We start from the raw sequence: 15624 nt of genomic DNA on the forward strand, positions 1-15624 counted from the left end.
AATAAATAAATAACACAGAGCTGTGTGTATACACAGGCACACAAACATATTTTCCATGGCCTCTACCCTCATGTAGAATAAAGCCTGAATAGTTCAGATTCCCATTCTAACATACACACACACACACACACACACACACACACACACACACGCCTCTACTTACCTTTCTAGTATTCTCTAACACTATGTGCCCACCATGTTTTAGCCACATGACCACAAATTCATGTGGCTCCCTCCCATTCACATGACTTTGCACAGCAGTGTTAACAGGGCTGGGACTAGTCCCAAAAGGAAGATACAAGGATATGAGTGTTTTCCTCATAGAAGAGAAAATCCAGAAATCTGGGATCAAGTCCCACTGTTCTCTCTTCCAGGCCTGGTGTCAGGTGGTAAATTCACTTAATTTCTAGGCCTCAGTTTCCTTACTGGAAAACAAGGACAGTATCACATACATGACTGGACTCCTTGTCTCCTCACACAGTCAACAAATATTGATTGGTGCCTACTGTGTACCAGGTACTCTGTCTGCCAGATGCTTGAGCTATGTGAAACAGCAATAACAAAAAACACTGCTGCCCCTTCATGAAGCTCACATTCCAGTACAGGTACATCTGTAAAATGGTACTTGCTCAAAATATTTATGTGGGAATTAAATATAATAATATATGAAACACAACTCAGAGGCTGGCACAGGGTAAACTATTATTATTATGTTGATGTTTAGTGTCCAAGCCCTTTTGTTCACTTTTTTTTTTTCTTTTGAGACGGAGTCTTGCTTTGTAGCCCAGGCTTGAGTGCAGTGGTGCAATCTTGGCTCACTGCAACCTCCACCTCCCGGGTTCAAGCGATTCTCCTGCCTCAGCCTCCCGAGTAGCTAGGACTACAGGTGTGCACCACCATGCCTGGCTAATTTTTTTATTTTTTAATGGAGACAGGGTTTCACCGTGTTGGCCAGGCTGGTCTCGAACCACAGGTGATCTACCCGCCTCAGCCTCCCAAACTGCTGGGATTACAGGCATGACCCACCGCGCCTGGCCCACCATTATTCTTAGTAAGAAGCTGCTCCTTGGCCGGGCGCAGTGGCTCAAGCCTGTAATCCCAGCACTTTGGGAGGCCGAGGCGGGTGGATCACGAGGTCAGGAGATCGAGACCATCCTGGCTAACATGGTGAAACCCTGTCTTTACTAAAAAAGTACAAAAAAATTAGCCGGGCGTGGTGGCAGGCGCCTGTAGTCCTAGCTACTTGGGAGGCTGAGGCAGGAGAATGGCGTGAACCTGGGAAGCAGAGCTGGCAGTGAGCTGAGATCGTGCCACTGCACTCCAGCCTGGGCGACAGAGCGAGAATCTGTTTCAAAAAAAAAAAAAAGAAGCTGCTCCTTTAATCTGGAGTGTCCCTCTCTTCCACCTGGCAATCCTAATCTGCCTGCTAGAAGTGCTCTCCACCTGTTTAGGTACAGCTCAAAACTGACCTCCCATACTTCTTCTGGGAAGGATTCAGGAGCTGGGAAGTCTCTTCGAGAGCTTGTCTGCACCTCCACTAATCCTTTTCCACAGGTCTACATGACATTAACTCCGTTCTATCACAATTAGCAGAGCCTATGTCTTATATATTTACATCCTCCATACCCAATATGGACCCTTGGATATATCTGAGGAGCAGAACTGACTTGAAAAACAAAAAGCAAGAAGGGGTGAGAAAAGGCAAGAAGAAAGACCATATTAGAGAAACAGTCTGGGGGCCAGATTATAGATGGCCTTAGTACCTGGCCAATGAGTTCAGGCCAATGAGTCCCTAGAAGTCATCAGTGATTGAGCCTCCAGGTAGAGTGGACCTTCATGGGCAGAAGATGAGCTAGTCTAAGGGTGAGCAAAAATGATTGCCCTGGTGGCCACAGCTGAACATGAAGGATGAGCCCATCCAATGTCAAGGCTGCTGTCTGAGCATTCTTGCCCCAGTGAATGAAGATCACCCAATATAGTGCTATAATTCTCTATATTTTATGTGTTGTGCACTACTGGCCTGGTTTCCTCCAAAATCCATCACTGATTTTTCGGACTGGGAATACTGCCCTCTTTCCAAGTGCTAGGAGGACCCAGTGCTTAAAAAATAAAAAATCCCAATCAAAATGTTGCTGGAACTTCAAAGACAGATATAGCTAAACCCAGAGTTGGCTTGGCTCCAAAAGACACACAGGGAGTCCCACCAGCCCACCAGGCTCACAGGAGCTCACACAAGCATGCTATGGTGAGCACAGGGCAGGTACTGTGAGGCTCAGCATCTAAGCAAAAGATGGAATTGATTCAGGTAAACGGAGTCCAGGGTATCTTAGGCAAAGGTCATTCACATTTCCAGATTTTCAACAAAAACAAACAAGGCAATACTTATGCAATTTTAGACCAAGAAAAATGTCTGCTCTGGCAGAATGAACCTTGCTAACCTAAGGAGTGACCAAAGGAGTAATCACTCTTGGCTGGGCACTGTGACATTTTTGTGTTCCAAAGATGCCTGTTTATCTGGCTCAATACTTTCTTTTTTAAAGGTTAAACTTAACCATTCTCCCCATCGCTGTAACCAGCCCGACTATCAGTCTTTGCTGTAACTGTTACAGTGTCATCTTTGCTGCCCCAAGTCTTTCTTTCCTGTAAAGATTTCTTAACAAGGGTGCTTTTGGCCTTGGGAACCTCAGGCAGCACTCCAAGGAAATTTGTTTTAAAAGCAATGAGCCTGCGGTCACTCTGAGGGCAAAGCACTGACATGTCAGCCCCACCTCCCCATCTGGAAATGCAGTGGAGGGTTCATTCCTTAAGGTCAAGAAAACCAACACCACATACTTGATAATGGCCAGAGAGGCCCACACCTCAACCTCCACTTCAGTTCTTAAAATCCTCCTCTTCAGATCACTTTACCTTCCCCAAACAGGAGGACTGCAGGCTCTACTTGGCTGCTAAAATAATCTTCATCCCCAAAAGCAAAGATAAAATAATGAGGGCATATACTATAGAAATGGGTCTTTGGTAGTAACTTCAGGAAAACAGAAGCAACCAGCAAATAGAAGTTTAATATTTCCACAAGGCCAGTCTCTATTTGGTTCCTGAGAGCCATGGACTGGGAAGTCAAGAGATAAGTTGTCTAATCCCAGATCTAACACTAACTCGTTGGTAATGACTAACAAGTGATGGCCTTTCTGGGCCTTAATTTCTTCATCTATAAAATGATCGTGGTCCAGCTCTTGATTGCAGCTGTGAAATTCTGAGACAAGACCCAAAGAATCCTTTTAGAAAACTATGAATCCAAGGCTGCAGTAGGGTTGCAGCATCTTCCCTTCTTCTTCCTCAAAAAAAAAAAAAAAAAAAAAAAAGAACAGGAGCTATTATGCCCCTACCTCCCTAGCATTTACACCAGGCCCCACTGGGATCCATGCAGGAGGCCAGCTCTCTGTGGACACATAGCCAGAACCAAAGTAACCAGAAGCATCTGCGGTCTGTCTTTGTAGATGGTACTGGCTTGAACCACACAGCCATGTCCTACAGTATTCTATCACTCAAGTATGAATTTCAGTCTACTTCATCACTCCTACACCAAGTCCTCACTTCCAAAGTCAACTCCCCTGTGAAATGCTGACGGTCTCCTCATACTCTGGGAGAGCGGCGGAAACAGAACCTGCAGTTGCCCCATAAAGCTGGTCAGTCGGTCATAAAGTGAAGTTAACAATTTATGACCCGCTTTAAAAAAAAAAAAAAAACATAGAATGGGCCGGCGTGGTGGCTCTGGCGTGTAATCCCAGCACTCTGGCAGGCAGAAGCGGGTGGATCACTTGAGATCAGGAGTTTGAGACCAGCATGGCCAACATGGCGAAACACCGTCTCCACTAAAAATACAAAAATTAGTCAGGCTTGGTGGCGCCCCACCCCCGGCCCCCCGTAATCCCAGCTATTTCGGAGGCTGCGGCAGGAGAATCGCTTGAACCCAGGAGGCGGAGGCTGCAGTGAGCCGAGATCGCCTCATTGCACTCCAGCCTGGGTGACAGAGCGAGAATCCCTCTGGTGGGGGGTGGGGGGAGGGAATAGAATGGAAAATATCATTGTGCCTCACCCTGTAGAAAGAATAACTATACCATGAAGCTCTTGCTGCAATTTTACATGTGTATGTGTGTGTGCGTATATATGTATATATAATATTACACACATATTATGCATATATACATTATATACATATAGGTGGGTGGGTGTGGGTCTTGATCGAAAAAAGACCTAGAAACCCATACATAGGCCAGTGGCAGTGGGATGCGACTCTGGGAGTGAATGCCACACACACCTATCCCACCTCTACCCACCCCCCCACCCCCCGCAGAGGATGCAAAAGCCAACAAAGAGCATATGAACTCAAGCACCTATCCTGCAATCCTACAAAACAGACCTGCCTGGAAAACAGTTGAAACAAACTCCTGACCACCGTCCCCGCCCTCCAACACACACACACCGTAGTACTTTTTTTTTTTTTCTATAAAGGACCAAACAGGATGCCATCCGGATAACAGCCTTATATCAAAAAGGATCCTGGAACCCAAAACGCTCAGCACGAGGGAGCAGGAGCGCATACCTACGCTGGGAACACAAGGCTTTAATCCCAGCTATTCCTTCCCGCATAAGGACTAACTGAGCCAGCAGCAACTGGGTTGGAGCAGATAGGGGAACTAGAGACCTCAGAGCCCCATTCTCTTTCTGCTTCTTAAATTTTTTTTTCTTTTATTTTCCAAATTGCACACTTCCATAAAAATTTTCCTAGGAAGCACCAAAGCTTTCAACTGCCCAGAAACACCCCGATCTGGGAGAAAAGGTGGCTTGAGCTGCACCTCAAAGATGGGCTCTATCTCAGCCGGGTTGCAAGTGCACAGGGCTCCCCGCGGGACGGAGACAGGGAGTTGGGAGGAAACGCAACGCGCCTCCCAGGCAACAGACTCCGAGCTCCGGTTCGGAAACGCTCCGAGGCAGAAGCAAGGGCTTCTAAGGGCTCCGCTTCCCAGCCTTGGGTCCCTACTACTACCTTCCCCCTAGACTCGGTGAGCCCAGGCTGATGGACCGTGCAGTCCAGTTTGAGCCAGCCCAGCAGCCCTCAATCGGGCGGGCAGGGAAGAAGGCCTCCTACTGCCGGGAAGAGGCCAGCGCGCTCCAAGTTCCCCGCAAATTCCGCCCTTCCCGCCTGGCACGGTTCCCTTGCACCGCTGTGCTCCGCTCCCAGGTTTCTGCCCGCCAAGAATGCTTGCCCCGGGGGCGCGCTCGCTGGTCAGGAACCTGTCGGCAGCCCCCGGGAACCCCTGAGGATGCGGAGGTGGGCCCGAGAGCTGCGGCTTCGATGCCGGGGTGGGAGCTAGGCAGGCCGCGCGCCGCCGCAGTCCTGTCGCAGCGCGTGCCCTGGTCCCTCCGGACCGAAAAGGCCGAAGCCGTCCCCCGCGACCGACCCCGCGCAACTGGCTCGGGTCTGCACCTAGATGGCTGTGGGCCCCACAGGGATGGCCGGGCGGGCCCGTTCGGCCGCTACCTCAGGGTCGCCAGTCCCCGCGCGCGGCCGCCTCCCGCCAGGAAGGGTGGCGGGCCCGGAAGGCCAGAGATGCCCCAGTGCTTCCCGCGCCGCTACGCACCTAGCTGCCCGCGGGTCCCACATGGCTGCGGCCGGAGGGTCCGCACCAGGACCGCCGCCGCCTGGGGAAGCGCTTCCCTGTGGGCAGGGCGCGGCGGGCAGTGCGGAAGCCCGAAAGCTACCGGAGCCCGGGGCAGGGGCGGCGCGATGCAGAGGCGGCGTTCGGGGGCCCCCAGCTGCCTGCGGCTCGGCTACCCAGCCGCGATCAGAGGGGGCGGGGGACGCAGGAACCCCGGCGTCCGGGCGGTGTGCAGCCGCAGACCTATTCCAAGTTTCCACGTAGTTGCGAGAGCCCAAAAACTGTCACGTGCACGTCGCTGCTGAGTGGGAGGAGGTGTTTGTCATCGCGTTCAAAAGGGGCGTTTCGGTGTCTCCCGTCATGCAAGCAAATGGTATGGCTCTCGGCCGCCTTTGAATAAACGAGTGCTTCGAACCCTTTACCAGGAGGGACTAGGCGCACAACCACCTCCGACACTCCTCGGGCATGCGAGAATTCGGCTTTCCTTAGTGGGGCCCATCAATGTTGTCCGGGAGGTAAAGAAAGTGATCGGCCAACGGCCTCAGCGTGGGTTTTCTCCTTCCCTCGTTCCTCCCTCCAACAAAGGACGTACGGAGAACAAGCCCCCTAGCTCCTACAGATGAGGAGCTCAGGAGTCGGGCGAATATCAAGTACTTACTGTGTGCTTGCCCCTCCACTCTGGGGAGGCTGGGGGTCCGGGAGTGAAGGGGGCAGCGAGACCGCGGGCTGCTCCACGCTCACCGTCGTGTCCATGGAGAGTAAGTGCGCACAGGCCTGAGCAGGCAACAAAATGAGGATCTTGCCTTGTCTTTCCACCTCCCCAGTGATGATCGACAGAGTAGTGGGTCGGAGAGGACCACCTCTGGCTGCTACCTCCCCAGCGGTTCTCGGCCTAGGGAGCCGGTTTGGTCTTCACAGCTTCTCTGGGCCTGGGAGTACTTTCCTACACACCAGAGAATCCACCCAATCAGAGAGCTAAGCCCGCCGCCCTCCCCTGGGGCAAGGTTCGGCCTACACTGCATCCCGGTGGTTCGCCCATCCTTCTGGGGGACCACCACACCAGGCTGCCTGGTGGCAGGGAGGACACCACCAGAGCTTTAGTGAGGGGGACCACACATTTCAGCGAAACAGAGAGGCTTTGGTAACACGTGGACACACCTAAGGCACACAGTATACTTCTCTCCACTGGTCATTCTGCGTTGTGAACTAGTCTCAGTCTAGCTAGTGGTCTCCTTGCTTCTAGAATCTCACAGAGATTTCTGTGCATTGATCTTCCCCAAACATCAGGATGAATCACGTACAGTTCAAAAGCCATCAGTGGCACTCCATTGTCTCCTAGAGATCAGGTTAGGTACCCGGGCATTTGAGATTCTTCTTCACAATCTTGCCCCACATTTCCAATCTTAGCTTCCTCATGCAAACTCTATACTGCAGTGCTTCCCAACCTTAGTTACACAATAGAATCACCTGGGGAGCTTAAAAACAAAAACAAGGCCGGGCGGGTGGCTCACACCCGTAATCCCAGCACTTTGGAAGCCTGAGGCAGGCGGATCACCTGAGGTCGGGAGTTTGAGACCAGCCAGACCAACATGGAGAAACCCCATCTCTACTAAAAATACAAAAAAAAAAAAAAAAACCCAAAAATATGCGTATGTTTGGCTTTTACTCCCAAATTGTCTAATTGACATGGGCGTCAGGAATTTTTGTTTTTGTTTTTGTTTTGAGACAGTCTCACTCTGTTGTTCAGGTGATTCTCCTGCCTCAGCCTCCTGAGTAACTGGGATTACAGGTGCCCGCCGCCTTGCCCGGCTGAATTTTTTAGATTTTTAGTAGAGGCGGGGTTTCACCATGTTAGACAGGCTGGTCTCAAACCCATGACCTCAAGTGATCCACCCACTTAGGCTTCCCCAAGTGCTGGAATTATAGGTGCAAGCCACCACACCCAGCCACATCAGGATTTTTAAAAGACTATAACATGCTGCAAAGTTTGAGAATCACTGCTAGCCACCAAATAGTTGGACTACTTGCTATTTCCCAGACATCATTGGTCCTTTCACTTTTAGGATACTTTCCATATCCTTCCTCCAATACTTTTCCCAACATCCCCCAATTCTATATTTAGGAAAGCACATGCCACCTCTTCTAGCATACCTCTTTCTGTTGGTGATTTTTGGGTTTGTTCAGTTTGGGTTTTGGTTTGGTTTGGTTTTGGTTTGGGGTTTTTTGGTTGCGGGGTATTTTTTGGTTTCGGAGATATTTTTGGTTTTGGGGTTTTTTGTTTTTCTTTTTGTTTTGGGGGGTTATTTTGTTTTGTTGTTGTTGTTGTTGTTATTTTTGCCAACTTCAAGGAGTCTACTTCCAGAAAGCCTAGCCAGGTTCTTACATCAAAGAGAGCAAGCCAAGGGATTGGTGAAGAGAGGAGGATTTAAAAAAACCAAAAAGTCCGTTTACACTTTGACCACTCTTTCACTAGTTTTCATAAGCATCTCAAAATCTTGTTGTCATACATCTTCTTTGGATATCTTCACCATAATCCTCAAAAGTCACGTCAGTATGTTATCTTTCTTTTTAAAACTGTTTCTTCTCTGTCTTCTATTTTTATATTTTTATCAGTTATACATTCACAGTTAAAAGAGCAGGCCTCAGCCAGGCGTGGTGGCTCATGCCTGTAATCCCAGTATTTTGGGAGTCCCAGGTAAGCAGATCCCCTGAGTCAGGAGTTCAAGACCAGCCTGACCACCATGGTAAAACCCCATTTCTACTAAAAATACAAAAATTAGCTGGGCATGGTGGCGCATGCCTGTAATCCCAGCTACTCTGGAGACTGAGGCAGGAGAATCGCTTGAACCTGGGAGGTGGAGGTTGCAGTGAGCCGAGATCATGCCACTGCACTCCAGCCTGGGTAACAGAGCGAGACTCCATCTCAATAAACAATCATAAAAATAAAATAAAAAATAAATAAATAAAAAGAGCAGGCCCCTTTTTCCCTTCCACCTGACTTCTTCCCTAGAAACAACCACTTTTACATCTTTCAGCTGATTATTTTGATGCCTATGCTCATGTCTCTAAATAACGTTTGTATTGCTACTTCTTGTTGTTGGGGCTTTTTTCCCCTCAGTTTTATGCATGATCAGGTAAAATTTTTGAGACTGTGCTTGTCTGAAAACCTTTATCCTTAATATAGTTTGGCTGGGTATAAAATTATCAGCTAGAAATCATTTTCTACCGGGCGTGGTGGCTCACACCTGTAATCCCAGCACTTTGGGAAGCTGAGACAGGCAGATCACCTGAGGTCAGGAGTTCAAGACCAGCTTGGCCAACATGGTGAAAACCTGTCTCTACCAAAAATACAAAAATTAGCCAGTCGTGGTGGTGGGCACTTGTAATCTCAGCTACTCCGGAGGCTGAGGCAGGAGAATCACTTGAACCCAGGAGGTGGAGGCTGCAGTGAGCCAAGATCATGCCACTGCACTCCAGCCTCAGCAACAGAGGGAGACTTTGTCTCAACAAAAAAAAAATAGAAATCATTTTCCTTCAGAATTCTGAAGCTATTACTTCAGTGACTTCTAGCTTCCAGTACTGCTGTTGGGAATTCTGAAAACATTCAATCATCAATCTTATCTATTTATTTAGAGACAGAGTCTCGCTCTGTCACCCAGGCTGGAGTGCAATGGTGCAGTCTCAGTTCACTACAACCTCTGCCTCCTGGGTTCAAGCATCAGTCATCAATCTTTTTATAGGACCTCTTCTTTTTTAAATCTCTGGAAGCATGAAGAATCTTCTTTTCCTCCCCAGTGTTTTGAAATTACACAATGATCTGCTTTGATGTGGGCCCATTCATTGATTCCACTGGGTACTGCGTGGGTTATTTCAGTCTCAACACTCAAGCTCTTCAGTCTGGGAAAATATCTTGAATTATTTTATTGATTTTTTTTTTCCATTTTCTTTCTCTCCCTCTCTCTTTTTAATCCTATTATTCAGGATATTGAACTTCCAGGACTGATCTCTGTGATACAGTTGCTTAATTTTCAAATCACTTCTCTCCTGTTTTCCATCTTTTTTTTTGTTTTGTTTTTGTTTTTGTTTTTGTTTTTGTTTTGAGATGGAGTCTCGCTCTTTCGCCCAGGCTGGACTGCAGTGGCACTATCTTGGCTCACTGCAAGCTCCACCTCCCGGGTTCACGCCATTCTCCTGCCTCAGCCTCCCGAGTAGCTGGGACTACAGGTGCCTGCTACCATGCCCAGCTAATTTTTTTTGTATTTTTAGTAGAGACGGGGTTTCACTGTGTTAGCCAGGTTGGTCTTGATCTCCTGACCTCGTGATCCGCCCACCTCGGCCTCCCAAAGTGCTGGGATTACAGGCGTGAGCCACCACGCCCGGCCCTGTTTTCCATCTTTTTTGGCCTTTTTTGCTGTAGTTTCTGGGAGAGTTTCTCAACTTTATCTTCCACTTCTTAATGAGTTTTTTGTTTCTGATATCATACTTTAACTTTTCCAAGAGGTCTTTTTTATTCTATGAGCATTCGTTTGTTGGAGTACCCCATTGCCTTTTCATGATTGCATATCTTTTATTATCTCCTTGCAGATGGTAATTGGGTTTTTTTTTCCTTTTGCATAGGCTCTATTCTCCATGATTCTTTTTCTGTTTCTGTGTTATGTTTTGTTCCCCTTGTTATGGATTTTCCTCAGATGCTTATCTACTCATTACTAACAGTGGGGAACAAGATATCCATCAACAAAGAACTGATTGAATAAACTATAGTACATCCACATTGTGGGAAACTATGGAGCTGTACTAAGAAATGAGAAGTATTTCTATATAAGACTGTGGGCTGAAGGCCAGGAAATATTGCTAAGTGAGAAAAATCTAGACGAGAACAGTGTTTATAGTATGCTACCTTTGAAGTAAGTAGAAGTGGGTATTTTTATGTATTTGCTTATGATTTCTGAAAGAAACAATGGAAAGAAAACTAAAAACTGAGATATGTGGTTGTAAGAAGGAAAGGGGTAGAGGAGACCAGGAGGGAAGCTAGGCTTCTTTAAATATGCCTTGTTTTATAGTTTCAGCTTCATAACCATATATGCATTTAACATAATTGAGAAGTTGTATTTAAGTTTTAAAAAGCAGTTCCTAAAATTGAAAACAAACTGAGACAAACTAAACTGTATATCAAGTAGATAGCATAACTACACAAAAATTATTTCTAGTGACATTAAGACATAATATTTTGACTACAGGGATGTATACCAAGGGAAAAAGATAACAAACAATAAAAATATTGAATTTAATAGTCATATTTTTACTAAGTAATACTGGTACTCTATTTTTAAAACATTTGTTTAAAAATATTGCTTAGTAATATTTTTATTACTTAATAATGAGTATAAATTAGAATAAGCAAATAATTAATTATGACAATGTGTCATTCAAAACCAAGATATTAAATATAAGAGAAAAATACAAACATAAAATAAAAGAAGTTGATGGAAAAATCTGTAATCTGAAAACTGAATTAGAAACACCAGTATGGACTCATGATTTATTTCCTATCTCTATTCATTCTGTCCATCTTTGATATGATGTGGTATTACTGGGATCATTAACAATGTGCACCTCTGGCACCCAGGAAGTGATCTCTAAACAACATTCTTCTCTACAAGAAACCAAGACTCTAAAGCAAATTAAAAAGATTCTAAGTCTGGGGCAGAAATGTACAAGTTGAGCTTGGGACATTTTGTTGTTCCAGAAAGCAAAGAAGCTACCAAAGAGTAATGGGGTTGTGTCCAAGGATCCTGCAAGCAACTTAAACGGGCTTCCACTGCTCAAACATGAGAAATTAAGCATTAAAAAGAAAAATCAGGCCTGGCATGGTGGTTTGACTACTCCCATGCCTGTAATCCCAGAACTTTGGGAGGCCAAGGTGGGGCGGGATCACCTGAGCCCAAGAGTTTGAGACCAGCCTGGGAAACATGGAGAAACCCTGTCTTTACAAAAAATACAAAAATTAGCCAGGCATGGTGGCATGAGCCTGCAGTCCCAGCCACTCAGGAGGCTGAGGTGGGAGGATAGCTTGAGCCTGGGAGTTCAAGGCTACAGTAAGCCATAATGGCGCCATTGCACTCCAGCCTGGGCAACAGAAAGAGACCCTGTCTCAAAAAAAGAGAAGAAAAAGAAAAATCATTTTTCTAATTATATCATTCTTTCTGCATTTATTAGCTGGAATTCTTTTATAAAAAACTGTCCATCTACAATCATTTGGTTGCCCTGAAAAATAGTTCATATAGGAAAAGTGGGATAAATGCTTTTCTCCCTTTATTTACCAGTTTCAGAATGAGTTGGTACCCTGGGATTCAGCAAATTTTGTAAATGACTCATGGATTTAAAAAAATACAGTCGGTGTACTTTAATCATTACAATATTTTTTTCTGAATGCTCTGATTTCCCATATTCAAAAAGTGGGAGCCCATGTAGTCAGTGATTATCGATGGAGCAAAAAAACACTAGGAGAAAGGATAGATCTGGCCAAGGTTTTTTTAAATCTCATTTACCAATCCCAACATCATTAAAAGTGGGACAGCCAGATTTTATGTGCCTCCTGATGTGATGCAAAAGGAAGTACACAGCAACACGAGTGAAGAACTTTTACCCAAAAATATTGAATCTGAATTTAAGCAAGCCTCTAAACTAGAAGTTCTTAACCAGAAATCCATACAGAGAATTTGGGAAGTCTGTGAATTTGAATAAGAACGTAATTATCATCTTTATCTGCACTATTCTTTAACTGAAATTTAGCATTGCCTTCGATTATGTATGTAGGCAAAAACAAAGAAAAAACTAAAACTACAGTAAAAGCAGTATCCAAAGCTTTGTCAACAATAGAAATCATGGATTCTTTCATATTCCATTACAGTGTTGTGGATACCCCAGAATATTGTTTTTGCTTATCTACTTTATAATTATGATTAGACCTACTGTTAGATCTTGTTGTTTAATGTATTAATAAAGAAGATATATTATATCACAAATGAGTTATTTTTAATATGTTGAGAATTATAGTTCAATATAAATAGTTTTCTCTGTAATCCTATACATTTCATTTTATGCATTTAAAAATATTATCCTGGCCGGGCGCGGTGGCTCATGCTCATAATCCCAGCACTTTGGGAGGCCGAGGCGGGCGGATCACCAGAGGTCAGGAGTTTGAGACCAACCTGGCCAACATGGTGAAACCCCATTTCTACTAAAAATACAAAAAATAAGTCAGGCACGGTGGCATGAGCCTGTAATCCCAGCTACATGGGAGGCTGAGGCAGGAGAATCTCTTGAACCTGGGAGGCGGAGGTTGCAATCAGCCAAGATCGCACCATTGCACTCCAGCTTGGGCAACAAGAGCGAAACGCCGTCTCAAAAATAAATAAATAAATAAATAATAAAAATAAAAATATTATCCTGAGCAGGGGTCTATGGATGTCATCAGATTGCTAAGAGGTGCATAACAAATTAAAGGTTAAGAATCCCTACTCTCGATCTACCAGTTCTAATTTTTGTATTTTTAGTAGAGATGGGGTTTCACCATGTTGGCCAGGCTGATCTCGAACTTCTGGCCTCAAGTCATCTGTCTGCCTCTGCCTCCCAAAATGCTGGAATTACAGTCATGAGCCATTGTGCCCGGCCCATTTCCCACTTTTCTAATAGCTTTCCAGCTTCCAGGCTTTTGTTGCTGTTGCCTTCTCTCGTGTTCTTCCTCTCCGTATGCCTTTTAACAATTTAGTGGGGTTTCAGGAGGGAGAAAAAACAAATACTTGTTTTCAATTCACCATAGTCCTACAATATTTTTTTAAATGGTTGAAAGTCCTGTCTTTTGGAGAATGTGCTCAATAATGCTTCTTCTCCCCATTCCACATCCCCCACTCCCATGCCTCCCTAGGCTTTTGCTCCATGGCACCTGATATCACTCCCTTAAGGCCTTAGACTGCAGAGACAGATCAAGGCGTGATTTGTCTGGGCAACTGCCTATGCTACTCACCTCCAACAAGCCCCAAAACATTCCTGGAAAGCTAACAAGATGAAGAGTTTTATCTACCAAAACTCTGGAGAGAGTTTTATATGGGATTGGAAAGAGCTTTTGGAAATACCAGTTGGTTTGGGGGCTGGAGGCAGGACTGATGGAGAACCAATCCAAAGGACAAGTTCACTAACAATAGAAGGTGACTCAACTGTTTTCCAACAGGAGTAGGTCCTATTAGATGCAGGGTTCTGCTTGTGCTAAGCAGTGTAAGGAGTCAGGTCCGAAATAAAATTTCCTGGACCACAGAGGAAAGGCTGATATTCCAGTAAAGTCTTTGTCCAATGCCTTTGCCCAGACACTGCTCAGTCTCTCCTCTGTAGACAGACTGAACACAAATTTTAAAGTATTAATTTCAAAGGATAAGAAAATCACCCAACTAGGGTGTCCACAGGTCTCTATCTTCTGAGTCTGTGGCTTATCCCTTACTATAATATCTTGAGGGCATGGCCTTGCCCCACCTATCTTTCTGCTTCTCACATGTGGTGGTTGGTTGAAAGAAAGGTAAGCTCTTCTCATCTGAAAGTATCCAAGGACCCATTTTAATAACACTGAATAACTGAAAGTTGTCAGATAATCTTCGGGATGTAGGCAGGGCAGAATCATCACTGTCAAAAACATCAGCAGGCTGGGCATGGTGGCTCACACCTGTAATCCCAGCACTTTGGGAGGCTGAGGTGGGCAGATTACCTGAGGTCGGGAGTTCAAGACCACCCTGACCAACATGGAGAAATCCCGTCTGTACTAAAAATGCAAAATTAACCAGGCGTGGTGGCACATGCCTGTAATCCCAGCTACTCAGGAGGCTGAGGCAGGAGAATCACTTGAACCCAGGAGGCAGAGGTTGCAGTGAGCCAAGATCCCACCATTGCACTCCAGCCTGAGCAACAAGAGCAAAACTCCATCTCAAAAAATAAAAAATTTAAAAAATTTTAAAAAAATTAGCCGGGTGTGATGGCAGGTTCCTGTAATCCCAGCTACTTGGGAGGCTGAGGCAGGAGAATCACTTGAACCCAGGAGGAGGAGGTTGCAGTGGGCCGAGGCCATGCCAGCCTGGGTAACAGAGCATGACTCTGTCAAAAAAAAAAAAAAAATCAACAGAAACAAATGACTATTGAGTTATGCCATGGTAGCCACTATACCAAGTGAAGACCACAGACCAAACTCTGTGTACCCAGATAGCTAACCAAGTAAAAAAGACAAATACTTAGATGACCAGGAGCATGCAGTACAGAAATAAATATCAGTTGATTTTTTTAAAAGAGAAAAACTTAAATAATGCAAGTACAGGAGGAAGGACGATTTATCTTCATTCAACATTTCTGTAACACTATTCTTTAAATTCCTTATGATAACGTAAGTTGTTCTTAAAATAGTCTTCTAAGAAGGGTATTAATATCTGCATTTTACAGAAAGGAAAACTAAAGAAATTAAAAGTTAAGCAATCTGCTATATAACCACTTGGTCAAAAGGCTAAGACTAGAAAACAGAGACAAGTTCAGAATAGGCTTGGCTGTGTGTCTCTTGGACCCTGAGCTTAGTCCTGGATTCTGATGCTCAAGGATAATGTCACTGGAGACCACTGGGAGCATTATCTATTACATATGCTTACAGACAGACAGGTTTATACAGCAACAACAACAATAACAACAACAACAACAAAAAACACTGCAGCAGAAGTTGTTTTCCATTTCACCTTCAGTGGAACTGATTCTTACCTTGTCTAAGGGTAAGAATCTGAGAATGCCAATGAGGTGTGTCATATATGACACTAATCTATCCTGATAACATAGGAGGGGCAGCATGGACTATTTACAGTCCAACCTTGGATACACACATATATATATGCCCTCACACAGATACCTTTGCCCACACAGGGAATTGCACATTCTCAAAAATGTA

The 15624-nt window shown here is 45.2% G+C and overlaps 1 protein-coding gene across 9 annotated transcripts in view, besides 2 other annotated features; it reads right to left on the bottom strand.

Annotated features, from left to right (window-relative positions):
- The window catches only part of TRANK1 (tetratricopeptide repeat and ankyrin repeat containing 1), a 118926-nt gene extending 112329 nt beyond the window's left edge, over positions 1-6597 (bottom strand). For 6 of the 9 annotated variants that reach the window (NM_014831.3, XM_047449328.1, NM_001329998.2 and 3 more), the window contains exon 1: positions 5640-5907. In NM_014831.3, coding sequence (NP_055646.2) covers positions 5640-5662 — 23 coding nt within the window. In that variant the 5' untranslated portion in view covers positions 5663-5907. Of the gene's footprint in view, positions 1-5639; positions 5908-6315 lie in introns of those variants that run through there. The other 3 variants (XM_017007570.2, XM_017007573.2, XM_047449331.1) reach the window with 1 other exon arrangement.
- Positions 5555-5774: a silencer, noted in NCBI's record as "silent region_14195". NCBI's record gives its function as "represses an Ori minimal core promoter by ATAC-STARR-seq in GM12878 lymphoblastoid cells {active_cell/tissue: GM12878}" and the evidence as "EXISTENCE:reporter gene assay evidence [ECO:0000049][PMID:35858748]".
- Positions 6005-6074: an enhancer, noted in NCBI's record as "active region_19666". NCBI's record gives its function as "activates an Ori minimal core promoter by ATAC-STARR-seq in GM12878 lymphoblastoid cells {active_cell/tissue: GM12878}" and the evidence as "EXISTENCE:reporter gene assay evidence [ECO:0000049][PMID:35858748]".
- Positions 6598-15624: the final 9027 nt, after the last annotated feature.

The sequence above is a fragment of the Homo sapiens genome, chromosome 3 (genome assembly GCF_000001405.40).
Source record: "Homo sapiens chromosome 3, GRCh38.p14 Primary Assembly".
NCBI lineage: Eukaryota > Metazoa > Chordata > Mammalia > Primates > Hominidae > Homo > Homo sapiens.